Here is a 24,932-nt window from a genome sequence, read left to right on the forward strand (position 1 = left end):
TGTCAGCCCTCACCATCCACCCAGACCGGGTTACAGAACACACAGGTGAGCCTGGGGCCGCAGGTTTCAAAAACTCACTTTATTCCAATGTGAAATGAGGACGTGATGGTTTAAAAACAAGAAAAAGTTCTTGCTCAGCGGTGGGGATGCTCTGCTTGCCCGCTCACGCCCATCCCCCTTGAAACAAGGTGTCTGGACGGACCACACCCATAAGCGGCTCTCCGCAAACCCAGGCAGACGCCCGTCTCCTCCGGGTCTCAGGGTGGCCACATCCTCCCCCACCAGGGCTCTGACAGCAGGCACAGAGCAGCAGCACGGGCAGGGTGGAGCGGGAGCAGCGTGTGGGGGCCCCCGCCACCCCCAGAGCTAGTCTCAGACCAGGAAGGGAGCTGGGCACCAGAGAAGCGACATCACGTCGGCACCTGTAACTCCCGGGATCCGTAATTGGGCCCCGCTTCCCCCAGCCTCGCCCCCGGCCCACTGTGCGTTCGGCAGCTCAGGTTAAAACTGAGGGGAGGGATACATTCAGACCGCAGGCCCCAAGGCTGCGCCCAGCTGGGTGCAGGGAGTAGGGAGCCGAGTCAGAGCCACCCACTGGGCTCTGAGGGCCCAGCAAGCCAACCCCGACCCCTCCGTTCGGGAGCAGCAGCCAGACCACGCCAGTCACAACGGCGGCTCCCGTCCCGCCCCAAACTAAAGTGCACCCCAGCCCTCCAGCCCCGCCACAGAGCTCCGGCTCCCCACCCCTCCCCACCGGGTTTTTCGGCCTAAACCCTGAACTTTCAGACAGGCTGGGCCCGGGGGTGGTGGCAGCCAAAGCAGCAGCCATCATGTCGACCATACAAATGACCTGAGAAATCCCGTCTGCGCGTCACCCACTCAGGAGTCACCCACTCAGGACTGGCTCGGGCTATGTACAGGGGAGAGGAACGGTCAACACTCACAGCCAGGGGCGCACTCGCACACGCCGGCCGGACGGCGGGGGCCGAAGCAACACCTGCCCCCCAGCCGGGAACTGATGGCCGCACACGCCATTCACGTGTCTCCAATGGGGCCTCTGCATCATCTATTCATTGAACCAGCGCAAAAACACCTTCTGCGGGGCAGGCAGGCCAGGCTCCCAGGAGGACACGGGGGTGGGGTGGGGTGAGACGTGGAGGAAGAGGGCCTTGCTTCCTCTTCCGCCCGCAGGCTCGCCCCCTTCTCCCGCAGTCGGGCTCCCTGGTGACGGGGCCGCTGGCTGGCTGTCCGTCTGGCTCCCTCTCTATCCCTGCACGCTCGGAGAAGGGTCCTTGGCAGCCGGGGGCTGGGAGCCCAGGTCTCCTGGGGCCCCCGCTGGCGCGGGCTCGGTAGCCATGGGCTCCTCGGCTCTATCCCTGTTTCTGCTGGCCTCCTGGAGCTGGTGCCGCCGCGCCACCTCGGCTTTCAGATTCTCCAGGTCTTTTTGGCTGAGGATAAGGGTGGGGATGGAGGTGGCTCTCAGAGGAGTCCTGGGGGCTCCACCCGCCTCCCGGCTTTCCTGTGGGATAAGCTCAGGCTCTGCGCTCTATTCAGTGGGGAATGTGTGTGAACAAGCGCTTCCCTCCTGAAGGCGGAAGGTCCCTGAACACGGAGAAGGTAAGGACCCCGCACCTGACCCGGCCTCGGGGCTCCCCTCGCTGCCCTCGGTGGCCTCCCTCCAGCGCAGGGGGAGGAAAGCGGAGTTGGGGGGCTGCTGCCACGCCTTGCTGACCAAATCCACTCCCCACAGGAGGCCACACTGCTTGTGGCCACCCCGGGGAGCCCGGGGCCTGCTCCTCAGCCCCCCCCCGCCGCAGGATGGGAAGCGTGGGGAGGGAATGAAGCCGCTTCTTAGGGACTGGTGGGAAAACGCCAAGATACTTTGTGTGAAGCAGAAACACCAAGGTCTTCACTCGCGGAATGCGAGGATGCTGGGGAAGATAAGCGGGGCGGGCCGGGCGCGATGGCTCACGCCTGGAATCCCAGCACTCTGAGAGGCCGAGGCGGGCGGATCGCAAGGTTAAGAGTTCGAGACCAGCCTGGTCAACGTGGTGAAACCCCATCTCTACTACAAACACAAAAATGAGCCGGGCGAGGTGGCGGACACCTGTAATCCCAGCTACTGGGGAGGCTGAGGCAGGAGAATCGCTGAACCCGGGAGGCGGAGGCTGCAGTGAGCCGGGATGGCGCCGCCGCACTCCAGCCCGGGTGACAGGGCGAGACTCCGACTCACAAAAAACCCCCAACCGGGAGACACTCGAGTGGGGCGGAGGCCTCACCTGAGAGGAATGAAGAGGATGCCGTTAATGACGTTCAGCTGCTCCAAGACGCTGGCCATGCTGGGGGCCGTGAACTGCGGGGCGGGGAAACCAGCGGTGAGCGGGGCTCCCGCGCTCGCCGGGCCGGAGGGGCCGCTCCGCCCCGGACTCACCTTGAGGGGCGGGATGTTGGCGCTGGAGCCGTTGCGGTAGATCTCGTTCATGGTGCGCTGCAGGGCCACGGCCTGCTGGGTCAGGCACTTGAGGTACTCGGAGCTTTCCTTGGTCTTCTCATGGTCCTCGCCCAGCTGCGGGGAGGCGGGAAGGGATCAGGCCCCCCCGTGCCCCCGCGGCCCCGCCCCCGCCCCGCCACGCCCCCGCCCCGCCCCCGCCCCCGCCACGCCCCCGCCGCGCACCTGCGTCTTGTAGATGGTGTAACCCTCCTTCTCGTGCTGCAGGGCCGACCGGAACTCAGCTTTGCTCTCGTAGACTCGGGCGACAAGGTGGTGGCTGCCGGGAGGCGCGGCGCGGGGCGAGGGAAGGGCATAAGTGGGCTGGGTGTGGGGGCCTGACTCGGGGGCCCGGGGTCTCCCGTAGATCCCTCCCTGGAAGCCACCGAGGGGAACAGCAAGTCCAGGGCTCAGGGAAGAGGGGGAGGTCGAGAGAAATTTTCTCGGGTGGAGGAAGACAGGAGCACTGGGTCTCTTCCCCGCCCCCGCCGGCTGCCCCGCAGGCCTCCGCCGGCCTTGGCGTTTGGACGGGCGGCCCCTCACCTGAGGGCCACCTTGAGGGCCTTGGGCCCGTGGTACTTGGTGCTGACGGCCAGCGCGTTCTCCAGGAAGCGCAGCGACAGGTCGTACTCCATCACCCCGTGCAGCACCAGCCCGATGTTGTTCTGGGGGCAGGCGGTGGGGGGCCCTGGTCAGCTCCCGGTCCCCTGGGATGGAGCTGGGTCCCTGCCGCCCCCCCGCCCCAGCACTCACGTCCAGCAGCGCCATCTCGGGGTGGTCTTCCCCGAACACCAGCAGCATGAGGTAGCGGGCGCGGTACAGCAGGCTCAGGGCGGTGGACAGCTGGCTGCTGGCGAAGCAGTACAGGGCCAGGTGCATCTGCGGGCGGGGCGGAGACAGGTCAGGGTGGCCGCGGACCCAGCCCCTCGCATCCCCCGGCGCGGGCGGCACTCGCGACTCACGTATTCCTGGATGGTGTTGGGGTGCTCGGTGCCCATCACCCGCTCGCTCATCAGCACCGCCTTCTGCTGGTTACTCAGGGCCTGGGGAGAGACAGTGGTGGTTGCCGCGGCGTGGGAACCCCCACTGCACCCAGAGCCCGCCTGGCCCCGGCCCAGCAGCCCACGGTGCCGCTCTGCAGGCTCCTGTCCCCTCCGGCTGCGCCCAGCACAGTGCAGCAGGGGGGAGGGGGATCAGCAGCAGCTGCTGCCACACCTTGAAGGGCAGGTCACGCTCCACAGAGAGCTCCACACACCCATGTCTTACACCCAACAAAATCTCCACAAACACCCAAATACAAACCTAAAACTACTAAAAATGTTACAAAAAAAAAAAAAAAGCCTGAGCAGGGGTGGGTCCCTTGAGGTCAGGAGTTTGAGACCATCCTGGCCAACATGATGAAACCCCATCTCTACTAAAAATACAAAAATTAGCTGGGTGTGCTGGCTCACGCCTGTAATCCCAGCTACTCGGGAGGCTGAGGTGGGAGAATCGCTTGAGCCCAGGAGGTTGAGGCTGCAGGGAGTCGATATCACGCCACTACACTCCAGCCTGGGTGACAAAGCAAGACCCTGTCTCAGAAACAAACAAACAAACAAACAACCCACCCATTTATAAACAGAAGAAAAAACAGTCCCTTTGCAGGGAGTAGGGATCCTAAGACATGCTAACCCTGAAACAGCCCTGGCCAGGCAGGGCACCCAGAACCCCACCACAGCCTCCACCAGCCCCGGCCAGGCAGGGCACCCAGAACCCCACAGCCTGCACTGGGCACAGAGGACGTGGGAGCTCGGTGGCATGCTTCCTGCCCACTCACGGAGTCTCAGGAGGCGTCCTTGCTGACGCCCTGTGGGGGGGTCCCCTGCCATCGCCTCCCAGAACTGACCTCACCGCAGCACAGGGTGCTCCTGAGCTCTCCCGCTCGGGACACAGTTACAGAGGGGTGGAGCCAGGGGTGGCCTGGGCAGAACCAGCGACTTCCTGGGGTCTCCCTGGACTCCACCCACTCCTCCGTCAGGGGCCCCCTCACTCCCCATCCCCCAACACGAGGCCAGGCCTTTGCTGCCACAGCCCAGAGGGTACCTCTGCGTAGTCGCCCATGATGTAGTGGAGGCGGGCGAGGAGGCGCAGGCAGGCGCAGGTCTCCACGTGCATGGCTCCGTAGACGTTGTTAAACAGGTTCAGGGCCTCATTGATGAGCTCACAGCCCTCCTTCAGGAAGCCTGCAGGGCACCCCCAGGGGTGGCAAGGTCAGGACGGGCCATGGGGAACCCCCACCTCCACCCAGCCCCACCTGGCCACACACCCTGCTGCACTTTGGCCTGCCCGCTCTGGAAGAAATGGAAGGCATCCGAGGCCTTGGGGTTGACGTGCTTGACCACGGGGAAGATGTTGAGCACGTCCTCCTCGGTGAACGCGGGCTTGTGGCGACTGTCGAAGCTGTACTCCTTCAGCAGGACCTGGGGGGCAGCCCCCCCACCACAGGAAGCCTCAGGCCCAGGTTCAGCGGGTTGGCACCTCCCAACCCACCAACGCTTGCGCACAGACGGCTACCGTGAAAAAGCCACTTCCCCTGTGGCCCTGGCCAGGAGTGGGAGCCTGCAGCAGGGACGCAGCGGGGACACAGCGGGGACACAGCGGGGATGCTGTGAGCCATGCCCACCTGGATCCCTGTTTTCAGCGAGATCTCCCGCAGGAGCGTTATCTTCTGCAGGCCGTAGGTCTCCACAGCCTGGTCCACGGTCTCACTGAGGAGGGAGCAGGGGGCCTGAGCAGCCCAAGCACCGCCGGGCCCCCCCAACACCGCCCCACCCAGCTCCCCAACGCTGTCCAGCCCGGGCCCCCAACACTGCCCCACCCGGCCCCCGGGAGCCTCCCGGCTGCCCTCACCCTCCAGCACCCAGTGATCTCCACAGCTGCTCCCTCTTCTCTCTGACTCCCTGGCCTATGACCACAGGCCTTAGACGCCATCTGGGAGCAGGTGGTGGCCGCCTCATCTGCCCAATCCCACCCACCCCACCGCCCCTGCCCCGCACGCACCACTCGAGGTCGAAGTCAAAGTAGTTCTTGGCCTCCTGGCAGATGTTCTTCCAGAGCTCCTGGGGGGTCATGACAGCCCAGGCTGTGTTATCTGCAGCCCCCGGGGGCCGGTTTTTCCTCCTCTTATTCCGCTTCTTGGAGACCAGCTCGTCGGCGGGCAGGTGGGCCACGGGGTTTGGGTAGGAGCTCAGGAAGCAGTTCAGGAAGTGGCTGATGGCGGCTGAGAGGCCGGAGAGCTCGACTCCCTGCGAGGCAGGTTGGATCCGAGTCATGAGGGCCCTCAGCCCCACCTCAGGCTCTTTCCCGACGCCCCACACCACCCTGGGAGGCCATGGCCAGCCGCAGAGCGGACGGGTGGCACCTGTAAGTACGTCTTGAAGATGTGCTTGGCCGAGCGGGTGATGAGTTCTCCAATGCCGATTTTCTGGAAGGATTCAGAAGGGAGGTCTTGGTCAGGCCCCCGGCCTCCATCCCAGTCCCACAGCTCCCGTTCCGCCCCACCCCGGGCAGCACTCACAAAGACGTGGTCCAGCTGGTGGCGGGCCGGGCTCCGCAGCACCAGCTCCAGCACCTTGCCCAGGTAGCGCATGTTGATGCCCCGCTGGCGCATCACCTCTGCCAGCGTTGCCCCGTCCACGGGCAGGACCGCGTGCTCCATGCAGTCCTTCACCTGCGGGCTGCAGCAGCTCAGGCCCCCACCCAGCTCCTCTGCCTCCACCCAACTGAGTCCTTCTGGGGGAGCACAGCTATCCTGGGAGGCCCTGGAGAAGGACCCCGAAGGCTCCAGCTCCCAGTCAGGATGTCAGAATGTGCCCAGCCTCTGGCAGGAGCGCAGGCCAAGAACCAAGAGCCCGGTGGTGGTACAGGCCCCCTCTAACCATGTGGGAGAAGCAGAGGTGCCCGCTTGGGGGCACTACTTGACCCCCAGCCCCGTGTCCTGAGGCTTGGAGGCCACGGTGTTGGGGGAGCACCCAGCATCCTGGAACCAGACACAGAGCCTGCGGGAGGAGGAGGAGGATGGGCAGCCCCCACTGAGCTCTGGCCCCGTCCCCCAGCCATGCCACCATCCAGGGCTCAGAAGACTGGATTACCAGCTGCCAGCCCACACGGTGGGCTCAGCAGGGCCTGTGCCCTTGACCTCTGGGGGTCAGGCTCCCCATCTGTCAAACGGGGATGCCCACTCAGGGAAAGCTGAAAAAGTCACTCCTGCGAGCCTGTGTTCATGGGCCTCCAAGTCGGAGACAGATGAGGGACCAGCACCCTCCACACAAGCCCCACCCAGCCCCGCAGCCCCTCCCTCACCAAGCCAGGGATCTGGCAGGAGAGCAGGAAGGCAGCCGCGTCCTTCAGCAGCTGCTTCTGGTCCCGAACTTCATCCTGGCAGGACTCAGGGAAACGAACCCCTGGAGGAGGGAGAGCAGAGAGGCTGAGCCAGGCAGTGGCAAGACAAATGCCGCCTGGCGCTGGCGGGGGAAGCGCTCAGATGGGGGACAAACCCACCAGCCCCAAGGGCCCAGGCCCCCCAGCGAAGCTCTGGCCCTGGAGGGCTCCTGCGCTGGCCGGCCCCCACCACCTGCCTGGTGAGAAGATGTCAGGATTGAAGCGAATGTCGAAGGCGGTGCTGCTGATGGAGCCGACCGCCTTGCACGCGTTGCGGATCACCTCCCGGCTCCGAGGGTCTGCTGTGGAGACATGGCTCCATGAGACACGGGTCCCCTCTGCCACCGGTGGAGCTGGGCTGCGCCAAGCCTCGCCCCCTAGCTCCTTGCAGAGATGTCTGCCAGCCTCTCCCAGGTGGGGGTCATAAGCCACCCTGGCAGGGCCAGCCCGGGCTCTCTCCCGGCCATCTGCAGCAGCCCCACCTGTGCCGTCGTCTGCGGCGATGGTCTCTGCCAGCTCCTTCACCTTGGCCAGGCCGCTGGCGCTGCTACCCTCCTCCTCACTTCCCGCCTCCTGTCCTGGAGGATCCTCAGACTTGGACTCCAAGGAGGAAGGACCACCATTTTCCAGGGAGGAGGGGGTCTCCAGCTGGCTGGCGTTCTGCTGCATCAGCTGCAAGGCGGCCAGCTTCATAAAGAGGAGGTACCTGGAGCAGAGGAAACAGGGCAGAGCAGGAGCTGGACATCGGGGAGAGGAGCTCTGCTGGCCCACGGCTCCCGGCAGCTGGGGCTCCACACCCCGCAGGCATAGGGCACCTCCTGGCCGGTGTGCATGAGTCAACGCAGAAAAACCAAGATCTCCCAAGACAGGAAGAAAAAGGCGGCCGGGCGTGGTGGCTCACGCCTGTAATCCCAGCACTTTGAGGACGAGGCAGGCAGATCACTTGAGGTTGGGAGTTCGAGACCAGCCTGACCACCATGGAGAAACCCCGTCTCTACTAAAAATACAAAAAATTAGCTGGGCGTGGTGGTGCACGCCTGTAATACCAGCTATTCGGGAGGCTCAGACAGGAGAATCACTTGAACCCGGGAGGCAGAGGTTGCGGTGAGCCGGGATCGTGCCATTGCACTCCAGCCTAGGCGACAAGAGTGAAACTCCGTCTCAGAAAAAAAAAAAAAAAGGCAGCTGCGTTCTGGAGGGTATGGGAAAAGAGGAGCTCCCCATCCAGGTCAGGGCTCTCAACAGTGACAGGAAGCCACTGGCATTTGAGAGTTACTCATGCTGTGGGACCTCTGACATGGCCATTTCCCCATTTCCTAAGCACTAAACACCAGCGGCGGGGACCCCCGGTGCCCCACCTGCCCGCCCCAGCACGGGGACAGTCACAGCCACCCAGACTTCCAAGTGCTCCTTAAGAGAACAGTGTCCGCCACAGCCACATTACCCGCCTGGCTGCTCGCGAGTCTGCAGCCCGGGTTTCTGCGCTCGGGAGCCTGACAGCAGGGCAGGTGGGGACGGGTCTCCAATGACTGTGGCTAGACGGAGCCCTTCTTCACTCTCCAGCGCTTCTCCCTTCAAGGACCCAACCCCGGATCCACCCAGGGCGCCCGCACTCCCTGCAGCTGGCCCCGGCCCTGGTCCGGCAGGGCCGCCCCTCACCTGTGCTCCACGAAGGCGTCCACCAGCTCCTGGCGCAGGCAGCAGAGCTTGTGCCGGTGGGCGCGGGGGAAGCCGGCGCGGGCGCATTCCTCAGGCAGCTCCTCGCCAGGCACGGGCAGGAAGTTGAGGTCCGGGGGGAAGGTGCGCAGCAGGTCGAGGATGTAGTGGCGCCCGTCGTTGCCAATGATGCCCTTGCACTCGACCGAGGAGCAGAGCTCCACCTCCTCGTCACGGTCGTTGAGCACCTGGTGCCGCAGGATCTTGAGGGGCCGACTCGTGCGCTCCAGCAGCTCCAGGTACCGCGGGTGTGACACCACGGTCTTGCCGAAGTCGATGGAGCCGTAGATGACGCTCTGCTCCTGGTCCCGCTCCAGGATGCCGGGGATGATGGACTGGGCCGTGACCCGGTAGCCGCGGTAATCCACCACCACCGTGCCCAGCGTGTACAGCCCCTCCACGTCCACCGCGTTGTACGTGCGGACGCCATTCAGGTCGTTGGTGGGCGCCACGTAGGCCGCCACGTCCCCCCCGAAGTCCTTGTAGTGGTCTCGGACGTCGAAGCCCAGGCTGAAGAAGATGTTGTTCCAGATGAACATCTGCATCTTGGTCTCCTCGCTGGGGTTGATGGCCATCACGTTGCCGTCAATGACGGCCATGGCGCCCCTGGTGGCTGCCGCGGTGAAGTCGCTGTGCACCTGGCGGGGGTCGAGGAGGGCAGGGTTAGAGGCCGCGCCCACAAGAGCCTGCATCCACCTGGCCAAGCGCACGCACCTAGACCGCGGAGGCAACCGGGCCTGCCTTGGAAACCCAAGGACCCGGAGCCTCAGTTTCCTCATATGTAGAAAAGGGCAAGAAAACCATGTTTTGGCCGGGCGCGGTGGCTCACACCTGTAATCCCAGCACTTTGAGGGGCCGAGGCGGTCAGACCACTTGAGGTCACGAGTTCGAGACCAGCCTGACCAATATGGTGAAACCCCATCTCTAATAAAAATACAAAAAAAATCAGCCAGGCGAGGTGGCGCGCGCCTGTAGTCCCAGCCACCCGACAGGCTGAGGCAGGAGAATTGCTTGAACCCGGGAGGTGGAGGTTACAGTGAGCCGAAATCACACCACTGCACTCCAGCCTGGGGGACAGAGTGAGACTCCATTTCTAAAAAAGCGCAAACAAACCAAAACCCCCATGTTTTGAGAATACACTTGTGCTGAGGGAGACAGCAGGGCTTAGTGATTAACAAGCGTGCGCAGGTTTGGGATCCACCAGTTATGTGCCAGGTGAACTTGAACAGATAAAGGTATTGACCTTTACAAGTTGTCCAATATATTATAGGAAATAGTCTCTATAACGCACTTGGCACCATCTCTGGTGAAGTCGGTACCCGAGAAATGAGTTTTTGTTTCTACAATTATCATCTCTAGGCAGTATAACTATGGGAGGTTGGTTGTTTTCAGACAGGGTATCACGCTGTTGCCAAGGCTGGAATGCAGCGGCACGAGATCCGAGCTCACTGAAGCCTCGACTTCCCCTGGCTCAGGCCATCCTCCCACTCCAGCCTCCCGAGTAGCTGGGACTACAGGCACATGCCACCATGCCTGGCTAATCTTTTGTATTTTTTGCAGAGACGAGGTTTCACCATGTTTCGTAGGCTGGTTTCCAACTCCTGGGCTCAAGTGATCTGCCTGTCTCAGCCTCCCAAAGTGCTAGGATTACAGGCGTGAGCCACTGTGCCTGGCTGAGATTTCTTTTTTTTTTTTTTGAGACGTAGTCTTGTTCTGTCGCCCAGGCTGGAGTGCAGTGATGCAATTTCGGCTCACTGCAACCTCCGCCTATTGGGTTCAAGCAATTCTCCTGTCTCAGACTCCCGAGTAGCTGGGACTACAGGCATGCGCCACCACACCCAGCTAATTTTTGTATTTTTAGTGGAGATGGGGTTTCCCCATATTGGCCAGGCTGGTCTTGAACTCCTGACCTTGTGATCCGCCCGCCTCGGCCTCCCAAAGTGCTGGGATTACAGGCATGAGCTACTGAAGCCGGCCTGAGATTTTTTTTTTCTTAAGCAACTGCTTTTCCTCATTTCTCTTAGTAACCCAGCACTAATAACTTTTAAACCCCAGCAAACTAAAAGTGTTATGCAAATGAGCACCCGCCCTAGAAGGGCCATGGCCGGCCAGTGCTCGCCCAGGCAAAAGCCCCGCAGCAGTCACAGAGGGCGGGAAGCTGCACGGCCCTGGACACTCAGTCCCTATGGGAAGTAGGGCCCGCTCCTTCCAGGGACTCAAAGCCTCAGAGAGGCCAGAGAAAGGTACTGGGATGGTCTGCTGGGAGGCGGAAGGCTAGCAGACCCTGCGGGAGACGCTGACTGGCCTTCGGGGAACCTGACAGGGTTAGGGCTGCCCCTGCCTCCCTTGCTTTCCTCCTCTCCATGAGAAAACCCGTCAGCAGGTGGACAGCGGGCCTCAGACTGCCGGTCAGCAGAGGCTGCAGGCACCTTGAATATGGCCCTTTCTCGGAGCAGCCGCTCAGGCAGGTTCTTGCGAGGCAGCTCCCTCGTCGTCTGCAGCTCCTCATTCCAGTCTCGGGTCTGCAGAGAGATCAGGGAGGGAAAAACGAGCTCAGCCTGTGCCCTGTGACCTGCTCCCGGAAGTCGCTCCTTCTACCTTCCTGAGAAGAGCCCCAGACTCCCAAATGAAGTCAAGCATGGGGCCTCCAGGGAAGTGCACGGAACCAGCCCAGCACCCAGGAGGGCAGGGGTGCCCAGCGAGGGCAGGGCCAGGTTGCAGGCACCTGTCCAGGAATGTGCTCCTCATAGCCCAGCCTCGAGGTGTAGGCGTCCTCTGCACGCACGCAATCCATGGCATGCTCCGCCTGGGGGGCTGTCCAGCTGTACACCTGGAATGGGGTGGCGATCCTCTCGAACGGGTGGCGCTGGACCCTGTGGCAGGCAGGGGAGGGGGAGATGGGGCAGCCCACCAAGCTCAGAGCCCTTCCACGGGCCCCTTTTCTGAGGCCCCCGCCTGCTCCGGCATCTCCCACCCTGAGACACTGCCCTGGAGCCAGATGGAAGTGCACGGGCGCCTCTCCTGCGGCTGCTGTCTCGGCACTGGCCGACAGCTCCCTAGAGCGGGGACTCCAACACTGGGGGCCCAGGGCGGTTTCTTCAGACAGAAGCACTGGAGTGCAGGTGGGCCGGCTCACCCCATGCCCCCGTGTGCCATGAGACAAGGCGGGAGGGGACAAAGGCACTACCTTTTCTTCTGCAGCACAGCGAAGTTCTTCTTGAAGGTCGGGCTGATCTGGTTGAGCAGCTCCACTAGGGAATGGCTTAGGAAGCGGGGGCTGGCGGGCTTGGGGTTGAAGTGATAAGCTGTGGACCTGCAGGGAGAGGGCGGGCACTGAGCGGGGGCCCAGGTGTCTGCCCAGACCCAGGACGGCTGGCACGGCAGGGGGGTGTGGTGGGCTGGCAGGGACTCACTGATTCAGGTAAAAGCCCCGTGTGGACGCGGTGATGCTGACTTGCCGGTCCTCGGCTGTGATCACAAACAGGTACATGAGGTCCCCGTGCATCTTCCGGTTCCCCGGGGGCGGGTTCCATCCGCTCATGGTGAGTACTTTCAGGCACTGCAAGGGCTTCGGGAGCGGCCGAGTCTGAGGGGCCAGGCCTCTGGTGTGGGGCCTCCACCCCGCCAGGGACCCTCTTCCTCCCTCCCCCAGGATCCTACCTTCCAGTCACGGTTTTGGGGCTGCAGGGGACACAGTGGCCGCTCCCGGCTCCCTGGCAGGATGTACTCGGGTGGTGTGCAGTCGATGGGGTCCATCTCCAAGCCCTTCTTCCGCTTCCCGCTGTCTGAGGGACCCGAGGCTGGTGGTCAGCACAGGGCCACCCAGGGCCAGCTGTCTCCCTACCTCCTGATGGCCGTGGTCCGGGTGCCTCAGGCCCAGGCCCCTCGGCCCCTTCTCCAGCCCCCCACCTCCGTGCTCCCCGCCCTTTGGCCCAATCCCCGGCCCCAGTGCCTCCCGCACCTCCCAGGTCGCCGTCGGTGAAGACACTCAGGAAGGACAAGGAGTTGCAGTCAACCCCGTTGAAGGCATCGGATGGGTCCAGGCTCTTGAGCAGGTCTCGGACATGGCGCACGTGGATGCGGGCCTCACGCACCGTGTACGGCTCTGTCAGGAAGGCAGGGAGGGTATGGCGTTACCAGGGCCCTGCACCCTGAACAACCTGCCCAGCACAAAACAGGTTTTGGAGGTGCTAACACAGTGGTTTTAATTTTCAACTTTAGGTTTCCGTTTTCAAATTCCACTGTGAACACATAAGCTGGAGTTCTGGTTTTGACACCACAAACACACACACACACACACTCTGCCTACTGGTGAGCAGGGATCTTTGTTTATAAAGAACTTTCTGCCAAATGCCTCTGAAGCACACACAGGCCTCAGGCGTCCACAAGGCTGCCTGCTTTTGTGCGCCAGTGTGTCGGCTGGGCAGGGCTTTTGGAGCTGTGGGACTTCCACACCACAGCCTTGCCCTGCTCTCCCGAGGCAGCCTCATGTAGGGGTGGCCTGAGGACTTTCCAAGGCCCCCAATGTCAACACTGCCCCTATGTGGTTTCATGGGATTTTAATGGCAGTTCTTTTGGTGGAGGGGAGAGGTTCCGTGATCAACTGTGGGCGCTGTTGAGCTACAGACCTTTTCCGTCACTGCTCTCAACAGGCGGACAGGCCCTGGGGTGGAACCCAAGCAGCTTCTACCCAGAAAACTCGAGGCCACAGACCAACCGGATGGCACCTCCCCGTGCCCGACCTCCCCACTCTAGGGCTAGGAAACGTTTGGGACTTCTCATGGATCTCTACAGAACTGAACTGCGCTGACTTCACGCCCTGGGATGGTACTGCCTGATTTTTTTTTTTTAGAATCACGGCTCTGTTCTTTTGTTTTGTTTTTTTTTTTGAGACGGAGTTTCGTTCTTGTTGCCCATGCTGGAGTGCAGTGGCACGATCCGGGCACACTGCAACCTCTGCCTCCCAGGTTCAAGTGATTCTCCTGCCTCAGCCTCCCGAGTAGCTGGGATTACAGGCACCTGCCACCACGCGCAGCTAACTTTTTGTATTTTTAGTAGAGATGGGGTTTCACCATGTTGGCCAGGCAAGTCTCCAACTCCTGACCTCAGGTGATCCACACGCCTTGGCCTCCCAAAGTGTTGGGATTACAGGCGTGAGCCACCATGCCCAGCCCACGGCTCTGTTCTTTAACCCATGGGCCGTGAAGTTGGCAGATATAGGTGTGCTGGCCTGAGAAGCAGATCTGTGCTCCAATCCTGCCTCCATGAGCTCATCCGTGACACAGGGACCCTGGCATGGATGGTGCTGCCTGCCTCTGCCTCCGTGGGCCCTCCCCCGGGCAGGCTGTCCAACTTCCAGACCAACCTTCCACCACACGCAGCACAGAGCCCTCCTGCAGCCCCTCGACGCTGCGCAGCTCCGAGAAGTGGTCCAGCACGTTGCCATCCAGGTGCAGTGAGAAGCAGGTGCGGTGACACGTGTCCTCCCGGTCCATGAGCACCTGGTGAATCTCCTGCACCATCTCCTGGGGGGACACCTGCAGGGAGAAGGCCCCGCCCACCCCGGTGAGAGAGCACGTAGCGGGGAGAGAAGGCCCCAACCGCCCCGGTGAGAGGCCACGTAGCGGACAGCAAGGACAATATCCCCTTGTCCCCAGCCCAAAGTACCTTGGTCCCCAGAATAAATGCCCCAAATACTCGAATATCGGCTATCCCACTTTCTGGCTTTTAAATCCAGGCCATGTCCACACATGCCATGCCCTGTGTGTGCAGCCTGGAGCCTGGCCCACCGACTCGGCCTGCAGACCCAGAGCAATGCCCGAGCAGAGAAGGGAGATGAAGAACAGCGGGACAGAAGACGGCAGGCTCGCCCCCGGCCTTGCCCAGTGCTAAGGTGCCTGGGGCAAATGGCTTTCCCCTTCCAGAAGGGGTGCTCTGGGGCCCAAGCCTGCGGGTGCCGAGACATACGACGACCCTGTCTCGTTCCCCACTGAGTCACCGGCTTGCAAGACCTCCACGCTGGCTCTGCCCTTGGAGATAACCCAATACTACCCTCCCCTCTGGCAGATGGTAAAATCACGGCCCAGAGAGAGGTGACTTGCCTGAGGGCACAGAGCAAGAGGCTGGGGAGTCCTGGGATGCCAACACTTCCCAGCCACTATCACTCCCCTCCCCACATAGGGCTGGCAGGCCCAGCTGGTTGCTGTCCTCTAGCAATGGGGCAACGACCTGACCCTGGGCTCGATTCCCACGTCCACCACGCTAGCTGAGTGACTCTAGGGAGGGCACGGGATCCTCAGTTTCCTGCCACAAAATGGGGCCGGTAGGAGCACGAGCAAGGCTGAGCTTTCCAGCTCACCCTCCCCAGCAGGCTCAGGCCTGGCCCCCAGCACCCGTTCCTCCATCTTACCTGCAGGGAGAAGGGCTCGATCCCAGGGGCGAGGATCTTCACAGAAAAGCCCGTGTCCTGAATGACAATGACTTCCTGGCCGGTGGTCTCATCTCCCGGGCCGGCCTCGTCAAGCCCATTTTCCCTGGGTGGCTCGGCCGCCGCCGCCTCCTTCTTCAGGCTCTCTGGGCAGTCCCCGTTTAAGAGCATGACTGATGGCAGCTCTGCGGGTGACAAGAACGGGTCAGAATCAGGCAGCCTCGCTGGTCGGCGGGGCTGTCCGCCTGACCCCACACGGGGACACGTGCCTTCTGGAAAGGCATCTGCATGCCCTCGAGAGTCCCAGCCTCACGGTCGCGCCTCGCCCTCCGTGCACCTGCAGGCCACTTCCACACCCAGCCGCCCCTCCCAGCCACTGTTCCCTGGCCCACTGTGGTATGGCTTGCACCTGAACCCATGTCCCAAACCACTCTCCCCAGGGTCACCAAAGCCACCCTTCAAGCCAAGCCCGAGGGTCTCCTCCGGCCCTAACACACCTAGCTTCCCAGCAGCAGTTCCCCTCTTCCTCTCCTCTTCTCTGACCCCACACAGTGCCCTTGCCCCTCCCTCTCCAGCTCCATCCTCTTCCATCCCTCCTGAGCTGTGGTCCTGGGCTGCAGGGGGGCTGCAGGGGAGTGCCTAGGCCCAGCCTCTCCTGTTTCTGACCCCACCCCCTCCCATACACTCCTGCCCCGTGGCTCACACGGCCAATCCTGTCCTCTCTCCAGCCTTTTGGACCAAGGAGACCGCTGCCTCCCAGGCATCAACATGTGGCTGTCCCTGAGGCATCACTGAAGCCTCGTCTTGCAGGGACAGAACTCATCTTCCTCCTCAAACTGGCACCTGCTCTATCTAGTCACCCACCCTAAATCTCCCAACCCACCCACGGGACCCGGCCTCTGCAGCCACTGCCCTAGGGCAGGCATTTCCTCTATTTCAGCAGTGCCACCTGCAACCCTCCTAGGAAGCCCACTGCTTACAAGACCAAGCTTCTCAGGCCAGCGCTCTCAGGCACCCACCTGAAGTCAGCCTCAGCTCCTGCCTGCTCCCTGCTGAGGTCTAAGGACACCACACCATGCAAGCCTGGTACCGCCCACAGCCCTCCCACCGCCCTCCCACCGCTGTGCTTCTGTGTCTGTGCTGCCCCTGACATCCCATTCTGTACAGCAAACACTGACTCACCCTTCAAGGCCTAGGAGAAATAAACCTTTTCCACAGCCTGCCCAAATGACCCTTAATGGCAGAATCACACTCCCTCCCCCTTTCATTCCCAGAGACATTCGGCTGCACCCAGGGTGGCGTCCTCACCAGCAGCTCTACCCACCACCTTCTATCTTGCCCAGGCTCAACAAAAAAGGCAACAAATAAAGTACTTACTGCAAACCTCTAGCTACATCCAATATTTGAAGACAGCACCCAATCCACATGCTCCAGGGTGGGGAGCAGGTGACAAAACCTTGCATTCCTACCCAGGCACCAGTGGAACAAAGGAGAACCCCCTGTTCCGCTGAGGAGCCAAGGATCGCCTCTCAGTAACCCTCCAGCAGACACGGGCCTGCCTGGGCACCCATCTAGGAGATGAGGACCTTGGCCCCCAGGATCTGTCCATGGGCCAGGCTCACCTGCCTGGCTTGGCTTGAAGTTCAACGGTCCCAACTCTGAGGAGTGCCTGGGTTCCCTTCCAGAAAGAAGAGCTCGCCCAGCTCTGCCCATCCCATCTAGACCCCACCTCCCCTTCCCCACCCGGCTCTCAGGAGCGGGGACAGGTGCCTTTCCCAGAACTGTGTGGTCCCAATCCGGACCCACCAGAAACACGGAGCAGGAGCCTCAGGGAAGGGATGAGGCCAGTACGGAAAGGCAGAGACCGGGGGGCCTGGAGAGAGTCGCTCCCTTTCCCTGGATCCCCACGAGCAAACGAGAAACAGGACCTCTAAGAGCTCAGAGTCTCTTCCCCCTTACCCCAAAGAGGGGTATTTGAAGCCCAGAAAGGCTCGGAGCCTGGCCTAAGGTCAACCAAGTCAGAATGGGCCCCAGACTCCCTCCTGCAGCCCGCACCCTACGCCGCGGCACTCCCTCAACTCTGGCCACTGAGGACCTTCAGTAACTGTGCATGTCATGGCTCTCCACCCCACCCTCTCCAAGCCTGCAGTGGACTCCCAGGAACCACGAGGATGTACAAAGACCTCCCTTCCAGGATCCAACCGCCCCAGGAAGGGCACCCCCAATCCCCTCGCACGTGAGCAGCCCCACACACCTGCCTGACTCTAGTGACAGAGCAGAAAGACAGCCGGGGCGGTGGTCGGTCAGCTTGCAAACAGCAAGAGGCAGGGCAGCCAGGTGGAGGAACTGCCCCCACAGGGTCCCTGAGAAAGGCTGTGCTGGCTGCCAAGCCCCTGGAATAAGGGGAGAAGCAGGAAGGGCCCCCACCCAATATAGAACAGCAGTTTTGAGCTATGAGATCCCAAAAGTGGGGAGTCAAATACCTAGACAGAGACAGCCTGTGTTCTTTCGCATGTCTGGAATGGGAGGACAGAAAGGAGGGACGACAAGGCAAGGTGGCCGCGGCTCCCACTCTCCTTCCCCAGCCCAGGGAGACGACCCTCAGGGGGTACCTATTCCCTATCCCGTTTCAAAGGAATGCAGCTGGCTCCCAAGGGGCCTCCTCTCCCCAGGACAGCATGTTTTACCCTAATCCTTCCTCCTAGGAACCCCGAAGGTCTCCCCACCCCTGGATGAAGGCTGAGCGATCTCCCCCGCAGGCAGCTGGCTGGCTCACCAGGTCCCGGTGCTCACCTGGTGCAGTTGGCAGCTGCCCTCCCCTCGGCTCTGGAGTCTCAGGATGGCCGTGGCAGCAAGGCAGCCAGCTCTCCAGCTCAGCCCCAGCATTGCCCGGGTTCCTTGTTCCAGCCTCTGCCGCTACCCTTGCCCTAATGCAGCCAGTCGGCCCGGGGCTGGAGCTCCGGCTGGCTTCGGGTTTCAGTGGGGCCAGGCCTGCCATGGCAGCCCCAGGAAGGGCACACTCCCCCTGCCTGGCATCCCGCTCAAGGTCGGCCAGAAGGACGGCTGTGGGCCAGGAGAACCCGGTGGCCCCAGGACCCCAGGGGGAGCTGCTATCAGCACTCAGGCCCACCTCCCTATGCCCCCTAGAGAGGGGGTCACTGCCGGCAAAGCCGCTAGGGGGATCGGAGAACCCAGAATTTGGGGTACCTGGACCCCTCAAGATTGAGGGCCTAGGAGACTGGCTGGCAGGGGCAGGGCCCAGCAAGGGGGTCCTCTCCTCCGCTCCCATCCCAGTGGGGGTGAACAGGACCGCTTCTGCCAGCTGCCGCCAACAGCTGGCACAGACCCGGGTCCAGGCCATAAGGTGGCTGCCTCTGCCCACCAGTCCCAGACACTGAGCACCCCACTGTCCCTGGGCCAAGGGCCTGGCTGGGACCTCTGGCTCCTGCTGCCCCCTGCAGGTGACCTGGCTGCCAGCCCCTTCCTGGGAGTCACTGGTTCTGGTGGAAGGGAGGGGGATGGGCCCCCAGCTTCCCAGAGGACAACTGCACCCGTGCCCCTGGCCTCCAGGCTCCATCAAGAAGCTGGCAGGCTCCATCTTCCCTTCCCAGCAGCCCCGGCTCTGCCAGGAGGGAACCAAGTCTCTCCCAGGGGAGAACAGAGCTGGCAGCAAGAGGCCAGTGGCCGCACGGCGGGGGAGGAGGTGCCCAGCTGGCCAGGGCGCCTTCCCAGGGCCTCTGACATGCTGCCAGTGCCCAGTAAGGGCTGCCCCAGCATCCACCCTACCCAGGGTGGGCGGGAGCCAGGCTCTCACTCCATCCCCTCCCCTCCAGGACCAGGGATCAGGCAGACCCTGGGCTGCTTCACAGCCCCCATGGAAGGTTCTGGGTCTCACACAATGACCAGAGGAGAAGGACCAGGCCTAGACAGAGCCCCTCTGCTCCTACCCTCTCCTGAAATACACCCTAACCCTCCGGAGAGAGGGGTGGGGCAGGGCAGCCTGGCAGTGACCCCAGAGAAGTGTTGACAACCACCTGCACTCTGATTACCACAGAGCCAGGACTCACGCTAGGCCCAGCCCACGGCAGCTCCCTAAACCGCCGTGCCAGCCCATCTCACCTGAGGAAACTGAGGCTCCAGAAGGCTAGGAAGCAGCTGCCCAAGGTCACAGAGGCAAGAGGAGCCAACCCAGAGCAAGAAAAAACCAGGTGTTACTATCACATTTGGGATTAAGTTTAAAAAAAAAAGGAAAGAAAAAACAGGAGTGTCAGACGCCCAAGCCCATGGCTTTTGAGTCACTCCCACTGAGCGCGGGCTACCCACCCGCTCCCACCGACCTGCTCCCGCCGACCCGCTCCCATGGACCCGCTCCCACTGACCCACTCCCACTCAGCGCAGCCCACCCACCCCCTCCCGAGGGGCCCGGCAGCACCCACAGGTAGGCTGCACCTGCCTCCTCGTCCAGGCCTCAGCCTCTACTCGGGGGGGGGGGAGCAGAACTATCCCAGTCACAGCACTCCCCAAGGCCTCTACACCCTTGGGCCAATACTCCCTCCTCTCATAGTCCAGGAGCACCTCTGAGGATGTGAGCTTTAGGGGAGGGGAAAAGGAGGTCTTCTGCAGAGCGGGAGAGCCGTGCCCCAACAGCACTCTGCATACACGCAAACTCAGATGCTAGTGAAGAGACAAAGCACACCCTTGCCCCGGCCTGGAGGCGCCGGGAGCTCAAAGGCGGCAGAGAGGAGGAACTAGAAAAGAAACTTAGGCCTCCCAGAGGACCTGTGTGCTGCCCAAGCCAGGCACAATCTCACTCAGAAGACTGTGCCAGGGCCAGGCCACGCCCCAGCCAAGGCCTCAGCAAGTGAGGCTCCAGCAGGAAGTAGGGTCCGAAAAGGTGCATCACCCGTCCCGGGAGCCCAGGGCTTCAGGGAAAGGCAATGGGGCGGGCAGGCGGCCTATGGAAGAACCTACAGACCAGGCACCTGTTTGCCTCCTTCCTGTCCCACCCAGGCCAGAGGCAGGCGTTCAGGGCCTGAGGACAGTTCAGAGTTCCTCAGGCTGCTCTCCCCACATCCCATCCAAGATCCTGTTGCGGAGCTCCCATAAGCCCCTAGACTCCTTCCCCAGCTGCCAGCCTCCTCCTCCTCCCCCTCTGGGCCTCAACTCCAGGGAGCCCTCCCCTGGGCAGAAGGAACCTGACGCACCACTGTGGACCTGAAAAACCTGCCTGTTCTCTTAACCCCTAAAAGCCGCTGTATTCCCAGGAAGGTAACCAACCCTTGCCCCCGACCCTCAATGGCCTAGATCAGCTCCTTCCTAAGGGGGCTGAAGAGCCTTCCAGAGCTGGATCTCAGAGGTCAGAAGCCTTGGTTCTGATGCTCAGGTGGGCCCCAGCTGGGGGGTCTTCATTAAGGCTCCTTCCTTCTTTCAATAGATCCGGGCTGGCTGTAACGTAAGTCCTAGCTAGCTGTACTACCTTCCCAGGGACGTAGGAGCCCATGTCCTGCCCACGAGTATGCTCCCAGTTTCCCCAAAACAAATAGCTGTGCCCTTCCCTGACTCAGTTTACCCCCGACAGAGCCCCCCCACCCCCAGCAGAGTTAGGAAGGGGCTTCACTGACTCCCTCACAGAAATCCTCCAACAGACGCTCGTCAGCCCCCTAGTTCTCAGCACGGGATCCAAACCAACACGCCTGTCCCAGCTTCCTCTGGGCCAGGCCACGGCAGCCTTGGCTTGCTGGCCATGAGCTGGAATCCAAACACTTCCCTTAACAGCTAAATCGCTGTGTGACCTTGGGCAAGTCACTTCGACTCTTCGGGTCTCTGCTAGAGGGGAAATCAGCCAACCTCCTCTCATCCAGCCTGCCCCCACTGATTCAGAGCCACATCAGCACAAAGCCTGGTAGGTTGGGGCGATGAGCATCTGCTCTTCTGCCCAAACCTTGGCCTTGTCTAGACAATCAGCAGTACTGCCCCAGCACCTGTCCCTCACCCCAAGGCAACTCCGCTATGATGGGAACAGGGTCAGAGGGCTGAACGCTGTCCCCATCCTGATTCCCAAGTCAGCCCTGGCGCACTCACTGAAGCTAGGAAGGGAGATGATGAGGCGTTAAGACCACAAGTCCCAACTGAGGACAGTCGACGGAGGAGGGAGGGACTGGGGGACAGGAGTAGCTCTGCACCTCCACTGCCACCCAGAGCAAAGAGGGCCTGAGGAAGATGACGACTGAGGGCCTGGGAAGGGGATTCCAGCCCCAAGGCTGGAGTCTGAGACACGGTGGAGGGAACAGAAGGAAGAGAAGGGGCTCAGGAGAAAGGGAAAGCAGGCCCCACCCGAGACAAGCTGCAGCCACTGCCACAGTCACCACCATACAGCCCCCATGGGGGATCGCTGGGAGCTTGACTCCACACTAACGACCTTTGCCTTAAAAACAGCAACTCTGGTCTGACCCACTTTTCGCAATAAGGCAGGTTAATGATCAAGTTCTGGCACAAACACTTCCCCCTGCCAAGGAGTTTGGCTCTGCCCCATGCAAAGGCAGACGCCCCCTACACCAGGTCGGCCGAGCAGGCCAACACACCTGAGAGTCTCCGCCACAGCCTGAAGACCTGCGGTTATAGCCTGGCCTCAGGGCATGAACCAGGGACGCCCCTCACAACGCACACCCCGCACCTCGTGCTCTTCCCACAAACCAAGCCTGGGAAGCCTCGAGCGGAGCTTCACTCCCAGGGCTGCAGCCCTGCGCACAGGGGATGCCTGGGAGGCCGCCGCGGAGCAGGTGCCGAAGGGGGCTGTCCCGCAAACGTCGGAGCGACCCCAGCTCAGAGAGCTCCCATGCTCGGGCGCAGAGGGGGTGGGGCCGCCGATTCTTTCGGTCTGCGGCGGCGGCGCACCCCGAAACCGCGTGTGCGCGCACGTGTCCCCGCGATGAGGCGCGCGTGTGCCCGCCGAGGGTGCCAGCCGAGGCTGCCCTCCACGGGACCGCACGTGCGAAACCCGGGCCGCAGCCGGGGGCGACTGTGAAGGTGACCTTCAGCGCGGGGGCGACCCGGTGAAGGCCCCAGCGAGATACAACCGGGCCCGACGCGGAGGGAAGGCGGCGATCCCCGCGGAGTCCCGAACCCGCCCGCCCTGGTCCGGCGCCCCCCGCCCAGCGGCCCGCTGGCCCTGGCCCCGCTCACCGGCCGCGCCCGGCCGCCCCTTGCCCCCGGCCTGCGAGCCGTGTTCCCGGGCGCTGTCGGCCGGGGCGGCCGCCGGCAACTCGTCCGTCTTGATAACCATGGTGGCGGGAGCGGGCGTCCGCCTCGGCTGTCCGCGCCGCCCGCCGCGCCACTAACCCAAGTGCCCTGCGCGCCGCGGCTGCTGAGGGAAGGACGGAGTCACCGGCCCACGTGGTGCGCGCCGTGGCCTTTGACCCCGCCGCCGTTTCCCTGCCCCACCCTCGCGCCCGGCCCAGCCCACGGCGGCCCGCGAGGGACAAAACGCGCCGCGCCTGGTTCCCCGCCCACGGACGCGGTGACTTTCCAGAACGTCTTAAAGGCAACGCACTCTGACTCAAGGCCCAGGGAGGCTGGGCGCCCTCGCGGGGCGGGGCCTCGGGGAGACTCCCTGCTGCTCGCTGCCCGTCGGGCGGGCACTGTGACCTTGGGTGGAGACTGGTCTGGTTCTGCCATGGCTAATCCTCCCCTCTCCAAGGATCCCCTGTTTTCTCTTGCAGATTTGCTAAATGACCGCGCAGTCTGTCATCTGCGGTGTTCGCGTGACCCTCAGCGCCCTCCCCACCCGGCAGGCCCTTTCCCGCCGAATGGGTGCGGCTGGATTATTGAGGGAGTGGAGGGTCGCTTAGGGCACGGGCACGAGAGGCGAGGGCGAGACGTGGCTAATGGGGATCAAGAGTCAGAATGGACCCGCCAAACTTTGCCCCGAGCCAGAACGGGCTCCCTACCCGCGTCCTCGACCCATGGGTCCTCACCTCCAGGCTGGTGTCCTCATTTTACAGTGGAGGAGGCCGAGACCAAGGTCACACAGAGAGCAAGGGGTAGAGCCGGGTCTGACTCCATCCACAGCCAGGACGCTTTAACTCGTATTTTTCACTTGGCAGGGGCTTGGCGGGGACGGAACGGTGAGGTCAGAGAATGCTGCAGAGGGGACATTGGGACCAGGTCTTGCAGTGAGTTGAAGTGCTCCAGGCAGAGAGCGCCGGTGGGTCTTTCCTGGCCAGGCCGCAGGGGGCCTTTGGGAAGCACCCGAGGCCTATAACCTTCGGAGCGTTTGTCAAGCTCTAATGAGAACTGGAAAGCTTCAGCTTCCCGAGGTGGGCTGGGAGGGCCTTAGGTAGGGCCTCGCACAAATTGCGAAGGAAAGCCGACCTTGTTCTGGAGAGCACGTGGTGAGGAAAGCCAGCGACTTGATGTGAGCATTTAAACGGGAGGAAGGAAGATGAGAACTGGTAAGATTCTTCTCGGCCGGGCGGTGCAGCGGCTCACGCCTGTAATCCTAGCACTTTGGGAGGCCGAAGCCAGGCGGATGACTTGAGTTCAGGATTCGGAAGTTTGAGACCAACCTGGGCAACATTTCAAAACCCCCGTCTCTACAAAAAATATTGTTTAAAAAAAGCCAGGTGTAGTGGCACGCGCCTGTAGTCCCAGCTACTTGGGAGCTGAGCTGGGAGTATCACTCAGGACGGCTCAGATTGAGCCCAGGAGTTCCAAGCTGCAGTGAGCTATGATCGCACCACTGCACTCCTGCCTGGGTGACACAGACACCGTCTCAAAAAAAAAAAAAAAAAAAAAGCCGGGCGCGGTGGCTCACGCCTGTAATTCCAGCACTTTGGGAGGCAGAGGCGGGCGGATCACGAGGTCAGGAATTAGAGACCAGCCTGGCCAAGATGGTGAAACCCCGTCTCTACTAAAAATACAAAAATTAGCTGCGCATGGTGGTGTGCGCCTGTAGTCCCAGCTACTCGGGTGGCTGAGGCAGAAGAATCGCTTGAACCCAGGAGGTGGAGGTTGCGGTGAGCCGAGATCGCGCCATTGCACTCCAGCTTGGGCAACAAGAGAGAAACTCCGTCTCAAAAAAAGAAAAAAAAAGTGTGCATATATATATATAGTGTGTGTATATATATATAGTGTGTATATATAGTGTGTATATATATAGTGTGTGTATATATATAGTGTGTATATATATAAGTGTATATATAAAATATATATATTTATAATCAATATATATAAAAGTGTGTATATATGTGTGTATATATACACATACATACTTATGTGTGCGTGTGTATATACGTATGTGTATACACACACTCGTTCCTCTTTTGTTACACAAATGTGCAGAAAATTGTACCTGCTATTCTTCACTCTGATTTTTTTTTTACACGCTTTCAGTAGGTGTTCTCATTCCATTTACGCTGGATAATGTTGTATTGTTTGGTTGTACCATAATTCTTTTAGCCGGTCACCTGACTGATGGGTACTTAGTTTGTATTCATGAAACTCCAGGGTTTTTGAGAATTGTGCCTAGTGGCCCAGTGCAGCTGAAGTTGGAAGCCCGTGCATGTTGCTAATGCTACTCATAATAGGAAGCTCAGTTTTAACCCTGGGGGTTGGGGAAGAGCAGCAAGCCTGGGGTTAGAGAAACAGACACGTATAAAAAGCATCATCCAGCCGAGTGCGGCGGCTCACGCCTGTAATGCCAACACTTTGAGAGGCCGAGGAGAGCAGATTGTATGAGCTCAGGAGTTGGACACCAGCCTGGGCAATATGGCAAAACCTCATCTCTACAAAAAATACAAAAATTAGCTGGGTGTGGTGGTGTGCGCCTATAGTCCCTGCTACTCAGGAGGCTGAGGTAGGAGGATCACTTGAGCCCAAGAGGTT

The 24,932-nt window shown here is 61.5% G+C and overlaps 1 protein-coding gene, 1 long non-coding RNA gene and 1 other non-coding gene across 13 annotated transcripts, besides 10 other annotated features; 1 reads left to right on the plus strand and 2 right to left on the minus strand.

The window, feature by feature from the left end:
- Positions 1-57: 57 nt before the first annotated feature.
- CLUH (CLUH binding protein of NUMT mRNA) lies at positions 58-22,691 on the minus strand. Of its 11 annotated transcripts, none has more exons than NM_001366662.1 (26): positions 22,600-22,691; positions 15,033-15,235; positions 13,989-14,160; positions 12,585-12,728; positions 12,284-12,408; positions 12,037-12,191; positions 11,811-11,936; positions 11,349-11,496; positions 11,053-11,145; positions 8,567-9,261; positions 7,390-7,613; positions 7,105-7,206; positions 6,830-6,930; positions 6,045-6,197; positions 5,889-5,951; positions 5,528-5,772; positions 5,151-5,235; positions 4,794-4,947; positions 4,571-4,710; positions 3,451-3,531; positions 3,242-3,367; positions 3,032-3,153; positions 2,675-2,768; positions 2,432-2,566; positions 2,280-2,353; positions 58-1,448 (listed from the first exon to the last, which is right to left on the minus strand). In NM_001366662.1, the coding sequence occupies exons 2-26, from the start codon at positions 15,219-15,221 to the stop codon at positions 1,265-1,267; spliced, it is 3,930 nt and encodes a 1,309-aa protein (NP_001353591.1). In that variant the 5' UTR covers positions 15,222-15,235; positions 22,600-22,691; the 3' UTR covers positions 58-1,264. The 11 variants fall into 11 exon arrangements, with proteins under 11 accessions (NP_001353591.1, XP_047291650.1, XP_011522070.1 ...); XM_047435694.1 differs by lacking the exon at positions 22,600-22,691 and adding an exon at positions 22,389-22,435; XM_011523768.4 differs by lacking the exon at positions 22,600-22,691 and adding an exon at positions 22,389-22,435 and having other exon boundaries at positions 7,105-7,209.
- Positions 1,881-2,389: an enhancer, noted in NCBI's record as "H3K4me1 hESC enhancer chr17:2594504-2595012 (GRCh37/hg19 assembly coordinates)". NCBI's record gives its function as "activates a minimal SCP1, AML or CMV promoter by ChIP-STARR-seq in naive H9 embryonic stem cells {active_cell/tissue: H9 hESC(naive)}" and the evidence as "EXISTENCE:reporter gene assay evidence [ECO:0000049][PMID:30033119]".
- Positions 2,390-2,897: an enhancer, noted in NCBI's record as "H3K27ac-H3K4me1 hESC enhancer chr17:2595013-2595520 (GRCh37/hg19 assembly coordinates)". NCBI's record gives its function as "activates a minimal SCP1, AML or CMV promoter by ChIP-STARR-seq in primed H9 embryonic stem cells {active_cell/tissue: H9 hESC(primed)}" and the evidence as "EXISTENCE:reporter gene assay evidence [ECO:0000049][PMID:30033119]".
- Positions 3,532-3,590, minus strand: MIR6776 (microRNA 6776). The gene has a single exon (NR_106834.1). It is a non-coding gene; the product is annotated as a microRNA 6776 (primary transcript).
- Positions 10,885-11,385: an enhancer, noted in NCBI's record as "H3K4me1 hESC enhancer chr17:2603508-2604008 (GRCh37/hg19 assembly coordinates)". NCBI's record gives its function as "activates a minimal SCP1, AML or CMV promoter by ChIP-STARR-seq in primed H9 embryonic stem cells {active_cell/tissue: H9 hESC(primed)}" and the evidence as "EXISTENCE:reporter gene assay evidence [ECO:0000049][PMID:30033119]".
- Positions 17,424-18,320: an enhancer, noted in NCBI's record as "H3K27ac-H3K4me1 hESC enhancer chr17:2610047-2610943 (GRCh37/hg19 assembly coordinates)". NCBI's record gives its function as "activates a minimal SCP1, AML or CMV promoter by ChIP-STARR-seq in naive H9 embryonic stem cells {active_cell/tissue: H9 hESC(naive)}" and the evidence as "EXISTENCE:reporter gene assay evidence [ECO:0000049][PMID:30033119]".
- Positions 19,537-19,736: an enhancer, noted in NCBI's record as "active region_11497". NCBI's record gives its function as "activates an Ori minimal core promoter by ATAC-STARR-seq in GM12878 lymphoblastoid cells {active_cell/tissue: GM12878}" and the evidence as "EXISTENCE:reporter gene assay evidence [ECO:0000049][PMID:35858748]".
- Positions 20,994-21,073: an enhancer, noted in NCBI's record as "active region_11498". NCBI's record gives its function as "activates an Ori minimal core promoter by ATAC-STARR-seq in GM12878 lymphoblastoid cells {active_cell/tissue: GM12878}" and the evidence as "EXISTENCE:reporter gene assay evidence [ECO:0000049][PMID:35858748]".
- Positions 21,908-22,804: an enhancer, noted in NCBI's record as "H3K27ac-H3K4me1 hESC enhancer chr17:2614531-2615427 (GRCh37/hg19 assembly coordinates)". NCBI's record gives its function as "activates a minimal SCP1, AML or CMV promoter by ChIP-STARR-seq in naive H9 embryonic stem cells {active_cell/tissue: H9 hESC(naive)}" and the evidence as "EXISTENCE:reporter gene assay evidence [ECO:0000049][PMID:30033119]".
- Positions 22,314-22,433: a silencer, noted in NCBI's record as "silent region_8009". NCBI's record gives its function as "represses an Ori minimal core promoter by ATAC-STARR-seq in GM12878 lymphoblastoid cells {active_cell/tissue: GM12878}" and the evidence as "EXISTENCE:reporter gene assay evidence [ECO:0000049][PMID:35858748]".
- Positions 22,564-22,743: a silencer, noted in NCBI's record as "silent region_8010". NCBI's record gives its function as "represses an Ori minimal core promoter by ATAC-STARR-seq in GM12878 lymphoblastoid cells {active_cell/tissue: GM12878}" and the evidence as "EXISTENCE:reporter gene assay evidence [ECO:0000049][PMID:35858748]".
- Positions 22,805-23,700: an enhancer, noted in NCBI's record as "H3K27ac-H3K4me1 hESC enhancer chr17:2615428-2616323 (GRCh37/hg19 assembly coordinates)". NCBI's record gives its function as "activates a minimal SCP1, AML or CMV promoter by ChIP-STARR-seq in primed H9 embryonic stem cells {active_cell/tissue: H9 hESC(primed)}" and the evidence as "EXISTENCE:reporter gene assay evidence [ECO:0000049][PMID:30033119]".
- Positions 22,980-23,504, plus strand: LOC105371592 (uncharacterized). Its single transcript, NR_136412.1, is given in 2 exon segments — positions 22,980-23,070; positions 23,153-23,504. It is a non-coding gene; the product is annotated as an uncharacterized LOC105371592 (long non-coding RNA).

Source organism: Homo sapiens, chromosome 17 (assembly GCF_000001405.40).
Source record: "Homo sapiens chromosome 17, GRCh38.p14 Primary Assembly".
Taxonomy (NCBI): Eukaryota; Metazoa; Chordata; class Mammalia; order Primates; family Hominidae; genus Homo; species Homo sapiens.